The following is a 24,133-nucleotide window of genomic DNA, read 5'->3' as shown; positions in this document are numbered from 1 at the left end:
ATTTGGCATACAGTATTCAATAAATGGTAACTATGGGGTCATTGTTATTGCTCTTAGTAGAAATAAAACAAGAGAGTGATTGGCTTTGTCTTTAAATAAAATTCTTGGAAAAAGTAAAATTTAGGAGAAAATACTGTATTTGCTAGCAAGGTAAGAGTGGCAGTAGAGATCTTGATGAGTAAGAAATAAGGTGGCCTAAACATTGTGTTAGTCTACTCCACAGTTTTGCCTAATATTGTCTTGTTCCTGTAAAACCAATAATCTTTCTCATCTTAAACATGGGATTTTGAATGTAATGTCCATTCATATAAATTACTGGGTTTTAAAATTTTGTTCTATGATTCCATGCTACCCATGTAAATATTATCCTAAAGTCCTTGCATGTAATTGGTTATTATCCTGATTCTTCTTTTCTTCTCATCTTATCATTTACATCTGTTTCTTCTGAGATGTTATAAATAAAATGTATGCTAAAGCATACATTGAAGAGCACGAAAACATCTGCTTTCTGTTTTTTAGACCACATATTTCTTTTCATTAATGTCATATTTCCCCCAATACTCTGTGAATATGTGCAGGGGGATTAGCATACTGTGTGTGCATTTAGGCAAGTGGATGTATGTAGGAATGCAAAGGGGCATGTCCCTATATTTAAAAACAATCCATAAAAATCTTTTTTTAAAACAATCTAACCTACTAGACAGTACGAATTCATAGAAATAATATAGTTTGGTGGTTAGAATATCTTGATTTGGTCATGGTTTTGCTTGTTCATTCAGTCACCAAAATCTAGCCTGTTAAGTACCAAGTAGTGCATTCAGCCCAAAGTTTAAGTGTTAGATGTACCACATACTAACTGTAATAATCTTAGAATAAGTATTTTCTAATTCTCAAGACTATTCAGCAAGTCTAATGAGATAATTAATATTAAAATGCAACTCACACTCACAGAGAAGCAAAACAGCCAGAGGAAGATGTCTTTAACATTTCCTAAATAGTTATTGAATACCAACTCCATGCTATGCATTATTCTAGTCCTTAGCAGTGATACACTAGAAGTTCCATAGATTCCATAACTTTTGCACACTAAGGAAACTTATTATCTCTTAAACTGTGGCTAGGAATTATGCTTGTAGATTTAAAAAATCCAAATTATGTATGAGAGACTGAGAATTCTTTGTATCTTGATTTAATGATTACTGCACAGTGTATCATAGAACCTACATGGACGCTGAACAGTAAATAAAGTGGATAATTTAAATTTATCCAGAGAAGAAATATTTTATTGAGTCAGGAATGTCTAAGAATTTTAACAGTTGCTAACAAAAAGTGGTTGAAATTTAACAACAAAAGTGCACTACATAATACATAGATGAGCATGGAGGGCGTGTGCAAGTTGAAGTTCAACATCTAATAATCTGTATGTGGTTCTCATGTCATAGAGTGGGCCCCAAATTGCTCAGGTAACTCTTTTTGTGTTTATAAAAGTCATGGTTTTAAAAATCCTCCAGGTATTATTTTAAACTCTGGAACTATGTAGGCATCTGGTATCCAGAGTGATAGGTGAAGAAATAACATTCCGCTCTAGAGCTTTAATGTAATTTCTATAAAACTAGTTGATGACATATATTTCAAAACATGAAATAAACCTAACAGCATATAATAAAATGATTCTGTTATAATATTAGAGTTCTTCTAATCAACTAACATGTCTGTCAAAGGACCAACAAAAACAAAACTCTTAATCCTGTATTTTATATGATTTAACATTATAATTTAAGCATAAAGGTCATTATGGGCTATCACCATGATAATACATGTAAAAATTTGTGAAAAATTTGGTTTAAGCACAGAGAAAAACAGTTAACAAATAAGAAGAAATAAAATACGGAAAGAAAACACCATTTTAAATTTGTGTGTGTGTATGTTTGTGCACGTGTATTTATGTAGATAATGTTCACACATATACATACACACATATATATGACACATCTATGTACATTCATATACATATTTTATGAAATTATGTAAAAATAAAACATCATCAAAATGTGAGTTTAACCAGATTTACTAATTTTGTCTTATTATAAACAGAAGTTTTAAATTTCAATTTTGACATGCCTTTTTGTTCACTTGCCTGTATATCCTGTTACCCCAGTGGAGTCTAAAAAATGTCTTCATTTGTGTGACATCCTCAATGAATGGTGAGTTAGCTAAAATAAATTTCTTGATCTTGGAAGAAAGACTGAGGTATTCGAAGTTTTTTTTTCTTTTTCTTGGGATCCTCTAATCCAATATCTAACTGCTAAAATTGACAACACTTGCTGAATGGAGTTTCTCATTTGGGTGCCAAAAAATGCAGAGTTTGTCTCCCAGTTCACCTGCAGAATCATTTCTGCTCTAACTGTAGCTGTTATCTGGCACATCATAGCTCCTCAATAATGATTTGTTGAACAAGTGAGTGAGTGAAAGAATGAGCACTACAAGTGAGTGAGTGAAAGAATGAGCACTACGATCCTATGCATAGCCAGCTGTGGATTGTCTGGAAGTAAAAGCCCAGGAAGTAGAAGGCCCAGAAGTAGGATGTATGAGTAAACTCAGGAGGACAAGATGGCTGACTAGATGCAGCCAGAAAGCACTGCTCCCACCAAGAGAGACCAAATTATTAAGTCAGCCACCATAATTTGAGCAGATATTGGGAGAGAAAAAGCTGATAGTGGATGGAGATGTGACTCTGAAACTGAGGCTGAATAGAAAGGAAGCTGGCAGCCCTACTTAGGGTACCTGATCACTAGGGCCAGTTCCCAGCCACTAATGGCTCGTGGGAGAGGGGTGAGTGAGGGAAATGAGATTTGGTTCAGTCTCCCCATGGACCTCTGGGAACTTAGTGACAGGGGACCCTGCATCCCCTATGGACATGTGAGATGTCAGGAGATCTCTCCAGGGAATAGGCAGAGACAGGCCTTGAGACGGCATGGAGCCCAGGAGTTTTTGTGTGCTGGCAGCTCTAGTGAAAAGCAGCCATAAACGCCCATCACTTGGGCCCGCCTCCCCACTCCCCCAGAGGCATTGGCCCCAGCTGACTTCTGAGCCAGAAGAGAGCTGAACTTTCTTTGCAACAGATGTGACCGGGGCACATCTGTTCTGCAAACCCTTCCACATGCTGTCCCCTGACCCCCGCAGGGCCTGTGCCTAGCTGCCCTGCAGGAGTGGGTGCACCCCACAGCCTCCACGGCCCTGCTGAATGTGTTGCTGTATATGAGTACTTTCCAGACAGCACAGGAACACAACAGACACCCTGGCACAGCTAGAACCCAACCATGAACCACGGATGTCCTGGTTCCCCAGGGCTGCAGTGAAGAGCTCAGTGCTGCGGCCAGCACTCAGGCAGGGGAGGAACCCCCCTTGCAGGAGAGGAAACCCCAGCTCAGAACACTGAGAGGGGCCAGTTGCTGGGTCCCGGGCCCCAGGTAGGAGTGGAGTATGCCTCCCTCTGAAGAGCTGGTTCATAAACGGTGCGGCATATCTCCCTGTCACAACCTTTGCCCAAGAGAGGCTCGTGGCCTGGAACCCCTACCAAAAGAAACCGAGGCACAGCGCTGGTGACTGTAGAGGGCTCCCCACAAGGCCCGAGAGCAGACATGGTGAGCGAGCCATCTTTATTCCTCCCCGCGAATGCTAGGAAGTAGAAGAGTCAGGGACTAGGTATCAGCCTAGCTGCCAGCCATTACTCTTAAGTGCCATCTACAGGATCACAGTCCAAACTACAGCATCAACAATTATCCTATTAATATATACACCTGTGAAAACAAGCCCAAGAATTCACCCACAACAAAAATCCTGCACAAAGCCCTGGTGCTCTGAAAGCATCCAGAAACAAAGCAACTGACTATACTCAACTTATACTACAGTTAAAGGAACATCAAAACTCTCTGATGAGAAAGAATCAGTTCCGGAACTCTTGACAATTCAAAAAGACAGTATCCCCTTCTAACAAGTCCACTAGCTCCTCAGCAATGGTTCTTAGCCAGTCTGAAATGACTGAAATGACAAACATAGAATTCAGAATCTGGACGGCAAGAATCTCATCAAGATTCAGGATAAAGTAAACCCATCCAAAAAATCCAGGGAATCTAGTAAAATGATCCAAGATTTGAAATATGAAATAGCCATTTTAAGAAAGAACCAAACTGAACTTCTAAAGCTGGAAAACTCACTACAAGAATTTCATAGTATAATTTGAAGTATTAACAGCAGAACAGACCAAGCTGAGGAAAGAATCTCAGAGCTTAAAGACCAGTTTTTGAAGCAACTAAGTCAAAAAGGAATTGGGAAAAATGAACAAAACCTCTATGAAATATGGGATTATGTAAAGAGAATAAATCTATGATTCATTGGCATCCTGACAGAGAAAGAAAGAAAATAAACAATTTGGAAAATATATTTGCAAATGTAGTCCATGAAAATTCTCCTAATCTCACTAGAGAGGTTGACATGAAAATCTAAGAGATACAGATAACCCCAGCTAGATAAGTTGATCGTCCCCAAGGCATGTAGATTTTTTTAACAAAAAAATCTTAAAGGCAGCTAGAGATAAAGGTCAAGTCAGGTACAAAAGTAACTTTATCAGACTAGCAAAAGACCTCTTAGCAGAAATCCTACTTGCCGGAAGAGATAGGGAGACTGTTATCAGTGTCCTTAAAAAATCAACCAAGAATTTTAAATCCCACCAAACTAAGCTTCATAATTGAAGGAGAAATAAAATCCTTCTCAGACAAGCAAATATTGAGGGATTTGTTTTCAACTAGACTAGTTTTACAAGGGATCCATAAAGGAGTGCTAAACTTAGAATCAAAAGAACAAAACCTGCTACCACAAAAACACATTTAAGTGCATAGCCCTCAGGTACTATAAAGCAACTGTAAAATCAAATCTACATAGCAACCAGCTAGCAACATAATGACAGGATCAAAAATCACACATATCAATATTAACCTTGAATGTAAATGGGGTAAATGTTCCACTGAAAGGACACAGAGTGGCAAACTGTGTAAAATACAAGATTCAACCTTCTGCTTTCTTCCAGGGACCCATTTCACATGTAACAACACCCACAGGTTCAAAGTAAAAGAATAAGGAAAGATCTACCATGCAAATGGAAAACAAAAAAGAGAAAGCGTCCCTATTTCTATATCAGATGAAACAGACTTTTCACCAATAAAAATTAAGAAGGACAATGAAGGGCATTGCATAATATTAATGAGTACAGTTGAACAAGGAGACTTAACCATTCTAAATGTATACATACCCAACATTGGAGCACCCAGTTTAATAAAACAAGTTCTTCTTGGCCTATGAGAAGACTTAGACAATCACACAGTAATGATGGGAGACTTCAACGCCCCACTGACAGCCTTAGATTGTCAAAGCAGCAAAACAACAAAGAAACTGTGGACTTAAACTCAACATTTGACCAATTGGTCCTAGTAGACATCTATAGAACACTCCACCCAACAACCACAGAATATACATTATTCTCATCTGCACACAGAACATATTTTAAGATTGATGACATGCTTACTCATAACAGAAATCTCAATAAATTAAAAAAATTAAAATCATACCAACTACATTCTTGGATCACAGTGCAATAAAAATAGAAATTGATAGCAAAAAAAATCTATAGTATACAAATACATGAAAATTAAACAATTTACTCCTGAATAATCCCTGGGTGAACATTAAAATAAAAAAAATTCTTTGAAATTAATGAAAATAGGTATAAAACTTATCCAAATCTCTAGGATACAACTGAAGCAATGTTAAGAGGGAAGTCTATAGCCCTAAATACCTTCATTAAAAAGTTAGAAAGAGTTCAAATTAGCACTCTAACTTTGCACTGAAAGGACCTAGGAAAAATAAAAAGAAGAAACCAACCCCAAAACTAGCAGACATAAAGAAATAACTAAAATTAGAGAACAATAAAATTGACATGCAAAAATATATTTTAAAAATTGATGAAACCAAGACTTGTTTTTTGAAAAAATAAGCAAGGTTGACATACTACTAGCTATATTAGCAAAGAAAAAAAATAGAAGATCCAAATAAGTACAGTCAGAAATGATAAAGATGACATTACAACTGATCCCACAGAAACACAAAGGATTCTCGGAGAGTATTACAAGCAACTCTATGCACACAAATTTTAAAATCTAGAAGAAATAGATAAATGCTTGGAAACATACAATTTCCCAAGATTGAATCAGGCAGAGATTGAAACCCTGAAAAGACCCATAACAAGTTCTGAAGTTCAATCAGTAATAAGAAACCTACCAATCAAAAAAGCCCTGGACCAGATGGATTCACAGCTGAATTTTACCAGATCTATAAAGAAGAACTGGTACCAATCCTACTGAAACTATTCCAAAAAATTGAAGTGGAGGGACTCCTCCCTAACTCATTCTATGAAGCCAGAATCAGCCTAATACCAAAATCTGACAGAGACACAACAAAGAAATAAAACTACAGGCCAGTATCCCTTATGATCATAGTTGCAAAAATCCTCAACAGAATACTATAAAACAGAATTCAACAGCACATCAAAAAACTAATTCACCACAATCAAGTGGGCTTGATTCCTGGGATGCAAGGTTGGTTCAAAATATGTAAATGAGTAAATGTGATTCATCACATAAGCAGAATTAAAAGCAAAAACAATGTGATCATCTCAATAGACACAGAAAAAACTTGTGATAAAATTCAACATCTCTTCATGATAAAAACCCCCAACAGACTAGGCATCAAAGGAATATACCTCAAAATAAGAAGAGCCATCTTTAACAAACACACAACCAACATCATACTGAATGAGCAAAAACTAGAACCGTCCCCCTTGAGAAATGGAACCAGACAAAGATGTCCATTCTCACCACGCCTATTTGACATAATACGAGAAGTCTTAGCCAGAGCATTCAAATAAGAGAAAGAAATAAAAGGCATCCAAATATGAAAAAAAGTCAAAATATCTCTCTTCACTGATGATATGGTTCTGTACTTAGAAAACTCTAAAGACTCTGCCAAAAGGCTACTAGAAATGATAAGTGACTTTAACACAGTTTCAGGATACAAAATCAATGTTAAAAAATCAGTAGCAATTCTATACATCAATAATGTTTAGGCTAAAAGTCAATTCAGAACACAATTCCATTTACAGTAGCCACAAAGAAAATGAAATATGTAGGAATTCAGCTAACCACAGAGTTGAAAGTTCTGTACAAGAGGAACTGCAAAACTGCTGAAATAAATCAGAGATGACACAAATAAATGGAAAAAACATTCCATTCTCATGGATTGTAGGACCAATATCATTAAAATGTCCATACACCTGAAGCAATTTACAGATTCAACTACTTCTATCAAACTAACAATGTCATTCTTCACAGAATTAGAGAAAACTATTCTAAAATTCATATGGAACCAAAAAAGAGCCCAAATAGCCAAAGCAATCCTAAGCAAAAGAACAAAGTTGGAGGCATCACACTGCTCTACTTCAAACTATAAGCCTCCAGTAACCAAAACAGCATGGTATTGGTACAGGGACACATAAACCAATAGAACAGAATAGAAAACTCAGAAATAAAGATACCACCTACAACCATCAGATCTTCGATGAGGCTGACAATAGCAAGCCATGAGGAGGTGACTCCCTATTCAATTAATGGTGCTGGGATAACGGGCTAGCCACATGTAGAAGATTGAAACTGGGCCCCTACCTCCCACCTTATATAAAAATTAACTAGAGATGGATTAAAGGTTTAAATGTAAGACATCAAACTATAGAAATCCTAAAATAAAACTGAAGAAATACCATTCTCAACATCGGCATTGGCAAATATTTTTTTGCCAAGTCCCCAAAAGCAACTACAACAAAAGCAAAAATGGACAAATGGTACCTAATTAAACTAAAGAGCTTCTGCACAGTGAAATAAACTATCAACAAAGTAAACAGATGACCTACAGAATGGGAGGAAATATTTGTGAACTATGTGTCTGACAGAGGTCTAATATACAGAATCTTTAAGGAACTTAAATCAACAAGCAAAAAACAAATAACCTCATTAAAAATGGGCAAAGGAAATGAACAGATACTTTTCAAAGGAAGACATTCAAGTGGCCAGCAAACATAAAAAATACTGAACATCACTAAGCATCAGAGAATTGCAAATGAAAACCACAATGAGATACTATCTCACACCAGGCAAAATCGCTATTACTACAAAGCCAGGAAACAATAGATGCTGGTGATGCTGTGGATAAAGAGAACACTTATACACTATTGGTGGGAATGTAAATGAGTTCAGCCACTGTAAAAAGCAGTTTGGAGATATTTCAAATAACTTAAAACAGAGCTACAATTCAACCTAGCCATCCCATTACTGGGTATATACTCAAAGGAAAATCAATCATTATACCAAAAAGTTACATGGACTCATATGTTCAGTGTCATTCTATTCACAATGGCAAAGACATGGAATCAACCTGGGTGCCCATCAATGGTGGACTGGATAGCGAAAATGTGCTCCATATACACTGTAGAATACTATGCAGCCATATAAAAATAATTAATCTTGTCCTTTGCAGAAACATAGATGGAGCTGGAGGCCATAATCTTAAGTGAATTAGCACACAAACAGAAAACCAAATACTGCATTTTCTCACTTACAAGTGGAAGCTAAGCATTGAGTACAGAGGGACGTCAACATAGGAGCAATTGACACTGTAGACTACTATGGTGGGAAGGGATGGAGTGTAGCGTGGGTTGAAAAACTACTTATTGGCTATTATGCTCACTACCTGGGTGCAATACACTTATGTAACAAATCTGCACATGTACCCCCTGAATCTGAATAAAAGTTGAGAAAATAAATCATAGAGTAAACTCAGGATTTTGGCTATCTGTAAAGGGTCATTTTTGCTACATATTGTAGAACTCATGATATAAAGCTAAGGGTATGGATACTGTTAGAAGTGGATAAATATGAAGATAGATTAAATAGAGATAGAGAAATTATAGACAGATTAGATAGATAGATAGATAGATAGATAGATAGATAGATAGATAGCTGGATGGATGGATGGATAGACAGACAGGCTAGTGATATTACATACTTAACTAGCGTTCATATGTTATCCATATAAATTTACTAGGATGTATTGTCCATCTGGGCTGCAAATTTCATTCCATATGGCATGAATTTTAACTGAATGTTTGCTTGGAAAATGCTTTGTTATCGTGTAATGCTACCATGCAAAGTGTAATATCTGTTTCCTCCCCTCGCCTCCTCTCTCCTCTCCCTTTTCTCTCTCACCTTCATCTTTCCCATTTACCTACTTTCATCTGTCTCTCTCTTTCACCACTATGTTCTTCTCTTCCTTCTTCACCCCATTGTTCTTTCAGTATGACCATTTTCCCCTGACCATTTATCAAAAATTAACATAAAATAAGCAGCCTTTTCAGTGTATTTAAATCCCCAAATTCTTATCATTTTAGCAAAATTTTGAGCTTTACCCACAAATGAATGAAAGAAAGGCTATGTCAAATTGCTGGTCTTAAAACAGAATATATCTCACAACTATTTCTTAAAACAAAATTATTTTCCAGGATTATAAAAATATGTGAGTTGAATTTCCTGATATAAAAGCATAGGCTCTAAGTATTTTTGGAACATTGATTAACACCAAGCTGATAACATGCATTTCAGATGGCATAGGAGTAATTGTTCCTAAGGGCACAAGGGTGTATTAGATAATTTCTTGGGGTCTTCTCTTAATTCTATTAAGAGCAAATGTCTGGCTTCAGGATTTTTAATTTACTCCGTTTTAAGTTAAGTATAGTTTAGTCATACTTTTACTGTTTCATTTTCAATTCCTTTCTGTAAAAATTGAGGTGGTTGTGATAGCTAATATTAAATTTCCTGAAGCTCAACTTCATAATTTACCTCTCTTGGAAAAGATACATCTTAAGAAATTTTTGGTAGTGGTCTGTCTGTAGCGATTAAAATGGGTATGTTATTTACCCTTCACGTAAAGTGGTAGCCATTGCCTGAAAACCAATGATTGATAACATAAGCACATTAAATTTTATTTGAGGTGTGATATTGTAATATATATATATAATTTTCGATTGAAATAGTTTTATGATAAATTGAAAGCAATCAAACTAAGAATGAAGTTTCTTCACAACCAAAAATAATCTTGGAAAGCTATTTGGCAAACTAAAGAAAGATGTTAAAATATACTAACCAAAAGTGTGAAAATGTGACTCAACATTTCATATCTTTTTTTTTTCCAAACAGGAATGTTCTAATTTTATTTGATTTTATAGGAAAAGGATGATGACCAGATTAAGTGTCTTTACTAATTTTACTTGAAAAAACTGTTTGTAAATACAAATACACACCTAGCACAGTTACCTCTTATGTCCTGAAATGCTTTCAGCCATATTTTCCCAACCATTTCCATGCCATTTCATTTTGTTTCAAACATTGATTCTCTTTTTGGAAATCCTTTAACCTCCTGCTTTTGCCATGGTCACCCACTGGAAATCACCCACTGGAAATCAGTGATTTCCAGATGAACTCAGTATACATTACATCAAGTCAATGGTTAGCATTTGTCAAACTACATTGCAGTTGTTTTGCTACTTAACTACCTCTCCTTAGCTGGTATCTCTCCCACAAAATTTAAAGTTCCTAAAGCACTGATATTGTATCTGATAATCCTGTCCCCAAAGCCTGGAAACAATACCAGGCAAATTTAAGGCATTTGGTAATTAGTCTTTGATTAATGCATAGTTGAATAAATAAATAAACGAATAAATGTGGAAGAGAAAGGAAAACAGTAAGGGACAGGTGTAATGGACAGGGCTTTTTTTTTTTTTTTTTTTTTAGTCAGAATAGTGATTCTGTCCTTGAAAAAGGTATTCTACTTTCTTAAATATCAATGTTCTCATATGTAAAATCAATATATTACCCAGGCCAAATGACAGTGTATGGCTCAAATTAAATGCCATGTGTCCATGTCTGACACACAAGTACTGAATGTTAGTTCTTTCTTCCTTTCTAGATTTTCAGGTAATGTAGCCCATGAAGTCACCCTAATTAATAAGCCTAAATTAATGTCCACATTTGTTTATATTCTTTAGAATGGATTTGATATATATAATGCTCTTAAAGTAATTTTTCAAAAAGTGTATCTGTTTTTTTTTCCTCCAATATAATAAAAGCTCCTCAAATGTAAACATACTTTTGTGTTTACCATGAGTACAAAGGCCATGGTAAACACAAGACCAAGTTCTGGTTTACCAAGAACAGTCTTCGTGTCTATTGTCTGAAATAATGATTGATCGTTCTTCTTTTCCCCTCAAATATGTGCCAGTTACACTATAAATTATCTACTATATGCAATTAATGAGACATTGCAATTAATGCAAGACATTGCAGAGAATGGAGACAAATTAGGGTCTTACTATCTTAATTTTATTTAAATGTTACAGAAGACTTTGAGTGAGGCAATATTCTCCCCATTTCATAAGTGAGGAGATTGAGGCTTATTAAGGAACAATGAACTCAGCGTGGTCACTGAATTTTTTCCTCTACATTCTGAGCATATGCTGAAGTTTTGAATTTCTAATAAGACTATGACCAGGCTGATTTTTAATTTTTGATTATATTGATTAGAAATGATGTTTAAAGCAATTACTTAGCCATATTGTGTAAGCAGCACATTCATTGAGTCAACATTTATCAACCACCGGAAACGTATTTGATTGCAGGGATAGATGTTTGATAGTTATTTAAAATTAAGGTATGAAGACTGTCCAAGAAATACAAGGACATGGATATTTGCAAGGGATTCATTTTCTTCTTCTATATGTACCCTTTTCTAAAATTTATTATTCTGAGAACAGTGCCGCAATTAAGGAGTTCTGTCTGCATTTAAATCAATCTTCTCTTTCAGAGTGTATGTTTCTCATGAATCTTAACTGTGTCGCATTACTCCAGGGTCTCAAAACTTCAAGGACCAAAATAAGAAACCACTCAAATTATAGATTTAGGTGTTAGGAAAGTGAATGACTTTAATAGCTACATAAGAAATCCTTTTTGAAAGCCAGATGTTTTCTGGTTGTTAGCTTTCAACAAAATCGGAGGTTGATTTAATCAAGGTATTTAATGATTATTATAAAATATATCTTTATTCTAGTATATATGCAGAAGAAATCAGAAAATTTGAGTAATATTGCTGATAAAAACCATAACAACAACACAACCTTTTTTCTTTTCCATCTACTTACTTCTGGGAACAGAGTTTCTCAACAATAAATCTACAAAACTGAAAATTAGGACTCTGTCTAATTCTAATAGGATGTTTGAATTGAAACATAAGCTAGTTTAAAAAAGATAAAACTGCAGTTGTATTATACAAACATACATTTTTTGTGTTATCCAGACATAATATTGTATTTTCTCTGTTTATCAGCATTTTAATATATTTATTCTGTTCTGGTACATTGTGTGGTAATAATATTTGTGAATGCTGCTCATTTCAAGAGACAAGTTTTAACACTTACAACCATATAGTCATTTAAAATTTAAAAAGAAAAATATTTTAAGTGTATATTATATATTTTTGCAGCAACAAAATATAATATTACTGATAAAATACTTTAAGGCACACAATATAGAAAGATAGTACAATATAGTAAAATAAAATTATGTGCAGGAGAAAAGGAAAAAAGTTGAAGGAATAAAAGGGATGGTATAAAATTTCAATTTTTAAGAGCTCTTGAGGTTTTTAATAGAAGATGGGCATTAAATTGCTAGATCATCTTTATTCCATTTGATTCATTTAAATGAGTATCATCTGTCAATACCTATGAGGTACTGTAATTTAAATCTCTTAAAATATTTAAATTTTGACAAAGAGAGGCTTCATAGTTTTTCAAACTGTATGTACCTAAGGGTACAAACAAACCAGGTTTGGAAAGTACAGTACTAGATGAAATGTTGGGCATGGAACTTAGCACAACTCTGAGCCTGCTCCAAGACTGTTCAGTTCCTGCCCATTAGGACTTCTTGGGCCTGACTGAATGGGGCTTCCCTACAGAAAAAAAAAAAGTGTCAAATGTCCCTGACTAAATTTAATACTTATTATTTCCTTTAGGCAGTTAACATGAGTTAAAGGGATGTGTTTTTTAGTGAGACAGAAACTTTTCCATCCTCCAGCAACTCCAACTCTCATGGCTTTTCAGAATGAGAATGATGGGACCGTACCTTGATATATAAGCTTTGGCCTCAACCACAATGGACAATGAATAATTCTAAATCTTGGCAATTTTTAGACCTGGACAACACCTTTCCTATTGCTACCAGGCAGAAGAGAAAATTGAGTTGTTTCCAAATAGACATTCAGAATTACGAGATAACATTATTATCAAAATAATCATAGGAAAAAATGTTCTGGAAAAATTGTATACTTTGGCAATTTCAGTAACATTTAGAATAAAGCATTGTACTTAAAATAATTATATATTAGTAGTACTATTTCTCCCTCCTGCCTCTTTTAACATTAATCTATACTATTTTCATCTCCTCCCCCACCAAAGAAATATGAAAAAGAAAGTGTATTCTTATTGGCTGGAAAGATTCATAATTCCCAGCTAAAATAAAATAGTTTTCTGGCTGATGCAAATGCAGCAAATACATGAGATTATATTAAGAATATGTGATATTTTACCAAAAACATTTGATTTATGAGTTCCTCTACAATAACAAGGGATCTGGTGAATTTTCTGATCTCAATTGTGTTAGACCCAGTTTACAGGCAAACATAAAAGTACATGGAGTTTATATTTGCATGGTAAAAATCTATTTGACAAACATTCTTTTTTCTTAAAACTTCGCTCTTAAACCTTGAGGTTTCTGTTTGAGGGATTATTTCTACTCACAACTCTGTGGGGAACATGAGTTACATGGCCTCGCTAACCATAAGAGGAAGTAAGATCCTAACACGTATCTAGAATATTTCACATATATAACTTATTTCCACAGCTAGTAAATCTATTTAGTCATTTAAAAAATTTGATTATCATTTGAATAAATCCCATGTGGACTAAGATATCAGAAGGGAAAAATATTAATTTGAAAAAATTGAATAATATAGCTGCTTAAAAATTACTGGAAAATAAAACATAAATTTTCAAGTTTACTCACAATAATAATTAGAGTTATAGTTAAGGAAATAAATAGTTTCAGCAAATCATAAGCGATTTATGCAAGAGAAAACCATTTTAAAAAAATAATCATTGAGTGCTCTAAAAACAAAAGGATGGGAGCATGTCAAGGGACACAGGAGACAACCTGAAATAAAGGAGCTACCAATGATTAAAGCTGGGACAATATGAAAAACATATTAAATTATGTAATATTAAATTTCAAACCAGAGTGTAAAGTAAGTATACATGAGTCTATACTGTTGTAAGTAAATAACTGAAAAAGTAAATAATTGAAGGAAAAGAGGCCAGCCATTACAGAAGAAATCTATTTAATATATGTAGGTACTCTGTCTTCCAAGGGGCCAAGCTTAATTTCCGCCATTTCTTACCAACCCTGTTGAGGGTGTACTACTTTCCAAATAATAGAGTATGGGAAAGGGAAAATAGTAACTTTATAGTAGAGAAACCAGGCAAAAACTTTGTTTGTCAAATGACAAAGGTTGACATCATTAATAATGTTATCTGGATGTCATGTACCACTAATATGATGTGATTGAGGACACTTCACCTTTGTGGTATGCTTATCCATTCATAGCCCAGTGTAATCAGGATGAAAACAGGCAAACATGTATGATTTCATGGGATTAGGGGATATTCTATGGTACATTTGGCCAGTTCCTCTCCAGACCATCAAGGTCATGAGAAACAAAGAAAAGCTGTCACACACCAAAAGAAACTGGAGAGACATGACAACTAAGTAAATATGGTATCCTGAATTTGAACCTAAAATACAAAGAGCACATTAATGTCAATACTAGTAAAATCCAAGTAAAGTATTGAGTTTAGTTAATAATAATACACTAACATCAGTTTCTTAGTTTTGACAAGTGTCCCATAGTTAATGTAAGATAACAGTTAGAAAAACTGAATGAAGGACATACAGGAATTCTCTGTACTTTCTTTGCAGATTTTCTATAAATCAGAAATTATTCCCAAATTAAGATTTTATTAAAATAATTTTCTGGTTTATTTAGCAGTTTGCTAGTTAAATAATTACCTACACACTTAATTTATCAGAATGTAGGAGTCCCATCTAAAGAATTGAGGATCACTTTTCTGCATCCTTTCCATTGATGTTATAAACTTCATGCATAATTGGAGAATCAGAAATACTAATGAATAATAATTTAGGTTGTATGTGTAAATCATCATCCTTTACAGCCTTCAGGTTTAAAGTAGGTGGTTTTTATTATGTATGACTATGTCATCTTAGATACATTCACAAAGACACCACTTTTGGCTTATTCTGTTTCCTATCCTACTGAAGTCTCCACATTTGAACGATGTGTAAATGGAACATTTATTTTTACCTCTAAAAGTTGTCAAGTCATCTGAATATGATCTTTTGTACAAATTGAAGAATTTGTTAAAGATATACAAAAAGAACATATTTTGCAACAAAACCTACATGTTTGCATTCAATATTTTTGGATTTTTGAGTTGAAAATCTTCATGTGTATTAAATATTTTTATTAATTCTTGTGTGTATATATGTATATGAAATAAGGTTGTGATTATTTAAAACAAATATGTGGTACTTTTTGAAGCACTGATTGTCAAACATAATGATTTTTTAGCTAAGATGGGGAAATGAGATAATAATAATTTCATTCGTATTCATGACATTCTATAGCAGTTCAGAAAAGTGGAAAATATTTGGTACATTTTATTTGATAGTACTCCTAGTATATACAGTCTTACTGAATTGTATGCAATTGCCTCTCAATATCCGGGCCAGCTGTAACAGCTGTAATATACTTTGATCTATAAATTATAAAAGAACTCCCTTTAAAAAAAAAAAGGCTTTGTAAAAAAAAAATCACATCTTGTTGAAAAGTCTGGGAGTGACTAAAAGATTTAGAAAGATACAGAAATAAGAGTGATAAAACAGCAATTTGTTACTAAGTAGAGCTTTAAACAGTATATGAAACATGCTTCAGGTTAGTCAGAAGAGGTCCTCTGAATACACTGTGCATGCTTCCCTGAAATGAAACTGTATGTTATTGGTTAACCAGGATATTTAGCATAATCACTCTGCTAGACTGTGGTGGAGGGAGGTGATTATCACTGAGAACAGATGGGCAGGTCCACAGCACTGCCAGATTCTGCACAAGCTCCATTTATCGTTGGTTCTTGCTTTTTTCCTTCTGTGTTTTTAATTTTTTAAAAAACATTGTATGTTCTAGAGAACTAGCTTCACAAAAGGTCGGTGGCTGATGATCTTTCAGCTAAGATTTCAAATGTAGAAGAACAATTCAAAATGCTATCACTGTGTATGTAAGAAGGATGGGGCAGATTTCATTTTACCCTCTAGTCTCCCTCAATGCATGCACGGATTTATCTGTACGCTAAGCTCTCTGCTCTGCATCTGTAGCTCCTTGTGGATTATATTGTCTCAGTGATCAGAAATGATTTTCTCGGATATGAACACCGTTTCTGGCTCCCCTAAAGTGCATCCTCCTAATGGGACCCGGTTTTACACTTTTCAAGTAAGTGTGCTTTAAATGGCTTCACTACTTAGTAAGTTAATGTATTGTCAAACTTTTAACAAAGTGCTATATAAAGGAAGAAAGACTTAAAAAGGTTGGAAGTATTGAAGAAAATGTATGGAATGAATAATGTGCATGTCAGTTTAATCTACTTTAAACTGTGGGTATAGGATGGCATTAGGAGTCTCTGTGAATTAAAAAAAAAAATAGTGAACACAATTTTCCACAGGAATTTTTAAATCTGCTACAGTGTCATCCTTGAAGGTTTATGAGATGTGTTGTGTCTCCTGATATTGTTATTTATGGTTATAATATGGTAAACATTGTAGAGTTACTTTCCTTGTGCGTCGCAGAAAGAGTAAGATTAAAACACATTTTATGAACTTTGCAAACTAAGTCCTCTTGGCTTAGAAAAATATTTTGCATTTCATATACACAGTTTAACATAATTCCCATTATTTAATTTTCTTATGTGTATAACATAAAGACAATAAACAATACAGGAGGTTTAAGAACCAAGTTTAGTATGCTTTCCAATTTGAAATAGAGTAGAAACTCATTAAGATGGAAGATTTTCTGTGTTATCGAAAAGTCAAAATGATTTATAATATAAATATGAGTTAGAAAGCTGTTACCTACTAAATGTATTTCAATTGCCTGTGAATAAATCAGCCATCAGTCTAGAAAATGGCTAAGTCTAAACTAGATCAGATTCTATCTTCTTTTTATCTTCAAATTGTGCCTTTCATTCCTAAGGTTTACTTTGTAATTCAGTCATATCATCGTTACATGAAAAAGGAACTTGATATTCTTTTCCCTGTATATTATACATTATGGAAATATAGACAGCCTGACATTTAATTATTCTGGCTGTATAATTATACCATACTTGGAAAAAATAAGTATAACGGCCTAGAGAATTAATATAATAAAGGTGGTCAGAATTTTTTGAAGGGATCTCTAAATAAATGCACATCTGAATTATAAGTCTCTTGCCTTTGCAAACTGTAGGCAGTAGATATAATTACTCTTTCTCTCTCCCCTTTCTATACTTCTATTTTTAATTCTGTTGCCTCTTCTGTTTTACACTGATGTCTACTGATAGTGCAAGTCTGTGGTTTTACAAAATATATTCTCTTCCTACTGGTGATCTGCTTATTGTGGCAGTGATTCAAAATGCAAGTGCCCTGGGGCTGCTGTACAGAATTATTACTTTTTTTTCTCCTCTGTACACTGAGATATGAACACCTCTTACAATATCCTGCAGCTGGCTCTTTGGGTAGCATTTGACATTAGGTATTCTACTTCAGTCTCTTAAAGTTTAAGGGTCAGTTCATTCCATATGCTCGGTCATGACAGAGGCTTTTTACAATTCTTTCAGTAAAGATCTTACTGACACCTTTCTTGGCAGGTGACTTTCTTTGAAAACACACTGCAACGATTTTTAACTACCCCCTTTTTGTCGATAATAACATATTCTTGTAAAAACCGTAGGAATTAAGATAAGATATAAATTTTACCAAACATAAACTCTGTTCTTCTACATTTTTAATTTCCTAAAATATTTGATCCTGAGGTCTATAACAGACAATATGTGTTTAAGTTTTGATGTTTATCTTTTTGTTGCTATTGTCATTTGTTTTTGCCTTTGGTGGAAGAAAGAGAGAAAGAAGATTTTTAAAGCACAAAGATTAAGGTATATAATAGTCAACTCTTGGCTTTTTTTTTTCCAAAAGAAAGAATTAAATGATTATTACAATTATACTGAATGATTATTAGAATTATATATTGATTATAAAGAATTAAATGATTTTCTTACCTATATACATTAACCCATATTGAGGCAGCATATTTTCTTTGGTTGAAATGCTATAAAAACAAATGAGATGCTGTAAAGTAACAGACCATTTGTCAAAAACTGTATCTTGAGAAAATGATTAAATTTTCAAAAATGGTTGTCATTATGAAATGGTGCAAATGTACTTCTAAAATGATTCTGCATCAAGGAGTTGGGATTTTAATGCTTACTTCCTTAAAATAATTCTAGCACAGGAGTTAACATATGCAAATATATTTAAGAGAGCTTAGCATGAATAATACTGTGTTTTAGCTCCATATTCTCGTTAAACATCCAAACTATCCTGTCATTTTTTTCTGACATGGTATGCTATCACATTTTAAGAGTAAGATTTAGAATGTATTTGACCTAAGCAGTTCAAAGGTGAAAAGGCAACAAATAAGAAGTTGAAGGATATTCTTAGTACAAGACCTTGCTCTTCATTGCATCTTTAATTTAGACAAACACATTCATACTTCTGTGCAAACACATATGCCTTTTTTAATAGAATATGTAACACTCAATTTAAGCTAATTCCCTTATGTGTGAATCATCAGTTTTATATTACTGTGAATATACTTGTGCCTGCAGTTTTCTACTCAGAGGTGCCTGGACCCTGGATGATGCCAGCACTCAATTTGCACTGTATGTCTAATGAATGACTTCTCATCAAAAGTCAAGTTCTAGAATGTAGTTTCTAAAATGCCCTTTAATTGACAAAAGTTAAAATTAAGAGCTACTAGAGGAAAATAATATTTGCAGTATTCTTATGCATTAGAAGTGTCAATTTGTAGGACTCAAATATATACAAATGGAAAACCTACTTTAAAACAAACATATATATATATGTTTGTTTAAAGTATATATATATATATATAAACACAGTGAATTTTGTTACCTTTATGTCCATAAAAATGATGTCTCAACATGATTCTACATTTGTTCTTTCATAGCTTTATCTTTGTAAATAACACCATCTATTTGCTCTACTAACCCTACTGAGTGGTTAATCATGACTTAATGTGTTCCTCCTCCCAGATATCCTGGCCACCACCATGGCTCCCCTCATTTCCTCGAAATTAAATACCTTCACTCAGCTGTTTTCAAACCATATCTGCACAGTCCTAAACTTTCATGGGAGTTTGTCAGTAGTTGCTAGCAACAGCAGGGAAAATATTTTTATTTTATTTTATTTTTATTTTTAGACAGCATCTCGCTCTGTTGCCCAGGCTGGAGTGCAGTGGCCCAATAAAAGCTCACTGCAGCCTCAGCCTCCCAGGCTCAAGCGATCCTCCCACCTTAGCCCCACAAGTAGCTGGGACTATAGGCACACACCACCACACCCAGTTACTTTTTTAATGTTCTGTATAGATGGAAGTCTCACTATATTTTCCAGGGTCTTGAACTCCTGGGCTCAAGCAATCCTCCAACACTGGCCTCCCAAAGTGCTGGGATTACAGGAGTGAGCCACCCCACCAGGCTACGAAACATTCTTTTGAGGCTCACCAAGTTTCTCTATTCTACATTTACATTTTTTATTTATGAGTTCTCTGTGGAAACTTTCATAAATAACAACAGTGTGTTACTATCACATACAAAACAAAACGAAGTTCGCAACCCATTTCTTCAAACCAAAGGAATAATTTCTGATAGAAGGCATTTTATCTCCTGGGCCCATAGAAGAATTATTTCTGTTTAAGATATATTTATTTATTTGTTTAGCCATTGAATCCTAGCATTAATAACATTATCTGTCAGAACTATGTATAGAAGTGGCTAACTCTTCATACCTACTGAAAACAAGAGAAAGAAACTTTACTATAGGTTTGGAAACATAGTAACCTCCTGCTTCCGTGCTTAAAATACTTCTCTTCTCCAACCATTCTGGCACCAGACACTGGTTTTCTGGAAGACAATTTTTCCATGAACTTGAGAGGGGGACGGGAAGGGATGGTTTCAGGGAAGGGATCTAAGATGTTCCATCTTAGATCATCAGGCATGAGATTTCTGTAAGGCAGGTGCAACATAGATCCCTCACAAGCACAGTTCACGATAGGGTTCACACTCCTATGAGCATCTAATGCCACCACTGATCTGACAGGAGGCAGAGCTCAGGCGGTAATGTGAGTAATGGGGAGCAGCTGTAAATACAGATGAAGCTTTGCTCACTTGCCCACTGCTCACCTTCTGTTCTGCAGCCTAGTTCCTAACAGGCCATGGACAGGTACCACCAGTTGGGATCACTGCCTTAAATGACAGAAATTATCTTCCCAGCTTGGCATAAAAAAGACCTTCCTGATATGGGACACACTCTACTTTCTTTCCTAAAAAAGTTGTTTGCATGCTCTTCTGTGTGATTGTCTTTGCCTCTTCACTCAAAGTGCCCACTGGAAAATTTTTCTTAAAGACTTATCTCACATGCTACCTCCTCTGTGAAGCCTTCACCCATTCCTGCACACTGTATTAAATGCCTTTTGTAAAAAATCCTCTTTATTTGTTCATACTGCTACCAAAACAAATTTTATGCTTCGTTATAATCCCCAAGACCATTTTATTAAGCTGTGTTCCTCATACATGGAGACCAATATTATGTGTGTAAGGTGGAAAATATATTTCAAAAATAAATGATTTACCTATTAAAATTTAACACAGTAAGCAACTAATTATTTTTCTTTTAACTATATAGGCAGTTAGTGAGACGTAACTATTTATTAATAGGGATAGTATCTAAAGATGTATAAATGTAAATTTGCTTGTGTACCACACAAAGTAAGATTATTAAAAATATGTAACAGATACATGAGTGACCAAGGAAATTTTTTAATTTTATTGTTTTTTAATATTTCTATGGTAGCTAGCCAAAGCCTTTTTGAGGATTTTTAATACCTCTTTACCATTTTTATTAATTGGGGTTTTTCTTATTTTACCAAGAGAACTTTAAATTTTTATTGTATATAGTCTCATACTTGGCAGATAGGATTAGCACCTGAAATAGGAGACTGATATGTAAACTGAAAATCTCAATTGCATGAAGAAATTTTATTCAAAAAGATACTTAGCTGGGCATGGTGGCTCATGCCTGTGTTCTCAGCACTTTGCAAGGCCAAGGCAAGTGGAACTCCTGAGCTCAGGAGTTCAAGACCAGCTTAGGCAACACAGAGAAACCCCGTCTCTATCAAAAATACAAAAAAATTAGCTGGGCATGGTGGTACACACCTGTGGTCAAAGCTACTTGGGAGACTGAGGTCGGAGGATCACTTGAGCCTGGGATGCAGAGGTTGCAGTGAGCCAAGATCGCACCAGTGAATTCCAACCTGGGTGACAGAGTGATACCCTGTGTATTAGTTCGTTTTCATGCTGCTGATAAAGATATACCCAAGACTGGGAAGAAAAAGAGGTTTAGTAGACTTACAGTTCCCTGTGACTGAGGAGGCCTCACAATCACGGTGGAAGGCAAAGAGGAGCAAGTCATGTCTTAAGTGGATGGCAGTAGGCAAAGAGAGAGCTTGTGCTCTTCTTTTTAAAACCGTCAGATCTCATGAGACTCATTCACTATCATGAGAATAATAAAGGAAAGACCCACCACCATAATTCAACCACACCCCACTGGGTTCCTTCCACAACATGTAGGAAGTGTGGGAGTTACAATTAAAGATGAGATTTGGATGGGGACAGAATCAAACCATATTTTTCCATCCCAGACCCATCCCAAATGTCTTGTTCTCACATTTTAAAACCAATCATGCCTTCCCAACAGTCCCCCAAAATCTTAACTCATTTCAGCATTAACTCAAAAGTCCACAGTCCAAAGTCTTACCTGAGACAAGGCAAGTTTCTTCTGCCTATGAGCCTGTAAAATCAACAGCAAGTTGCATACTTCCTAAATACCATGGGGGCACAGGCATTGGGTTAATACAGCCATTCCAAACAGGAGAAATTGGCCAAAACAAAAGGACTACAGGCCCCATGCAAGTCTGAAATCCAGCAGGGCAGTCAAATCTTAAAGCTCCAAAATGATCTCCTTTGACTTCATGTCTCACATCCATTCATGCTGATACAAGAGGTGGGTTCCCATGGTCATGGGCAATTCCACCCCTATGGCTTTACAGGTACAGCCTCCTTCCTGGCTGCTTTCATGGGCCAGTGTTGAGTGCCTGTGGCTTTTCCAGGTGTACAGTGCAAGGTGTCAGTGGATCTACCATTCTGGGGTCTGGAGGCAAGCAATGGTGGTTCCCCAGTAGAGATTGACCCCACATTTTTTTCTGCACTGCCATAGCAGAGGTTCTCCATGAGGACCCCACCCCTGCAGAAAACTTCTGCCTGGGCATCCAGGCATTTCCATACATCCTGTGAAATCTAGGCAGAAGGTCCCAAACCTCAATTCTTGACTTCTGTGCACCCACAGGCTCAACAGCATGTGGAAGCTGCCAAGGCTTCAGGCTTCCACCCTCTGAAGCAACAACCTGAGCTGAACTTTGGCCCCTTTTAATCACAGCTGGTGTAGCTGGGACGTAGGGCACCAAGTCCCTAGACTGTACATAGCAGAAGGACCCTGGGCCCGGCCCATGAAAACACTTTTTCCTCCTCTACCTCTGGGCCTGCGATGAGAGGGGCTGCCACAAAGGTCTCTGACATGCCCTGGAGACATTTTCACTATTGTCTTGGGGATTAACATTCAGCTTCTTGTTACTTATGCAAATTCCTGCAGCCGGCTTGAATTTCTCCTCAGAAAATGGGTTTTTCTTTTCTATAGCATTGTCAGGCTGCACATTTTCAAAACTTTTGTGCTCTGTTTCCCTTTTAAAACTAAGTGCCTTTAACAACACCCAAGTCACCTCTTGAATGTTTTGCTGCTTTGAAATTTCTTCTGCCAGATATCCTAAATCATCTCTCTCAAGTTCAAAGTTCCACAAATCTTTAGGGCAAGGGCAAAATGCCACCAGTCTCTTTGCTAAAACATAACAAGGGTCACCTTTGCTCCAGTTCCCAAAGAGATCCTCATCTCCATCTGAGACCACCTCAGCCTGGATTTTATTGTCCATATCATTATCAGCATTTTGGTCAAAGTCATTCAATAAGTCTCTAGGAAGTTCCAAATTGTCCCACATTTTCCTGTCTTCTTCTGAGCCCTCCAAACTGTTCCAACCTCTGCCAGTTATCCAGTTCCAAAGTTGCCTCCACATTTTCAATTATCTTTTCAGCAATACCCCACTCCTGGTACCAATTTACTGTATTAGTCCGTTTTCACACTGCTGATAAAGACATACCCAAGACTGGGAAGAAAAAGATGTTTAAAGGACTTAACAGCTCCACATGGCTGAGGAGGCCTTACAGTCATGGCGGAGGCAAGGAAGAGCAAATGACATCTTAAATAGATGGTGGCAGGCAAAGAGAGAGAGCTTGGGCAGGGAAACTCCCATTTTTAAAACCATCAGATCTCGTGAGACTCATTCACTATCATGAGAACAGCACAGG

At 35.6% G+C, this 24,133-nt stretch overlaps 1 protein-coding gene across 44 annotated transcripts in view, besides 1 other annotated feature; it reads left to right on the top strand.

The window, feature by feature from the left end:
• Nucleotides 1-24,133, top strand: part of PPFIA2 (PPFI scaffold protein A2) — a 501,376-nt gene that overhangs the window by 144,578 nt on the left and 332,665 nt on the right. For 3 of the 44 annotated variants that reach the window (NM_001220478.2, NM_001220477.2, XM_017020118.2), the window contains exon 1: nucleotides 16,402-16,821. The exons of the other annotated variants lie outside the window; for them this stretch is intronic. In NM_001220478.2, the coding sequence (NP_001207407.1) occupies nucleotides 16,741-16,821 (81 nt within the window). In that variant the 5' untranslated portion in view covers nucleotides 16,402-16,740. Of the gene's footprint in view, nucleotides 1-16,401; nucleotides 16,822-24,133 lie in introns of those variants that run through there. 44 annotated transcript variants of the gene reach the window in all.
• Nucleotides 2,826-3,325: an enhancer, noted in NCBI's record as "H3K4me1 hESC enhancer chr12:82005227-82005726 (GRCh37/hg19 assembly coordinates)". NCBI's record gives its function as "activates a minimal SCP1, AML or CMV promoter by ChIP-STARR-seq in primed H9 embryonic stem cells {active_cell/tissue: H9 hESC(primed)}" and the evidence as "EXISTENCE:reporter gene assay evidence [ECO:0000049][PMID:30033119]".

The sequence above is a fragment of the Homo sapiens genome, chromosome 12 (assembly GCF_000001405.40).
Source record: "Homo sapiens chromosome 12, GRCh38.p14 Primary Assembly".
In the NCBI taxonomy this organism is placed as follows: domain Eukaryota; kingdom Metazoa; phylum Chordata; class Mammalia; order Primates; family Hominidae; genus Homo; species Homo sapiens.
Note: the sequence above shows the minus strand (reverse complement) of the source record. Positions and strands in the feature narration are given on the sequence as shown.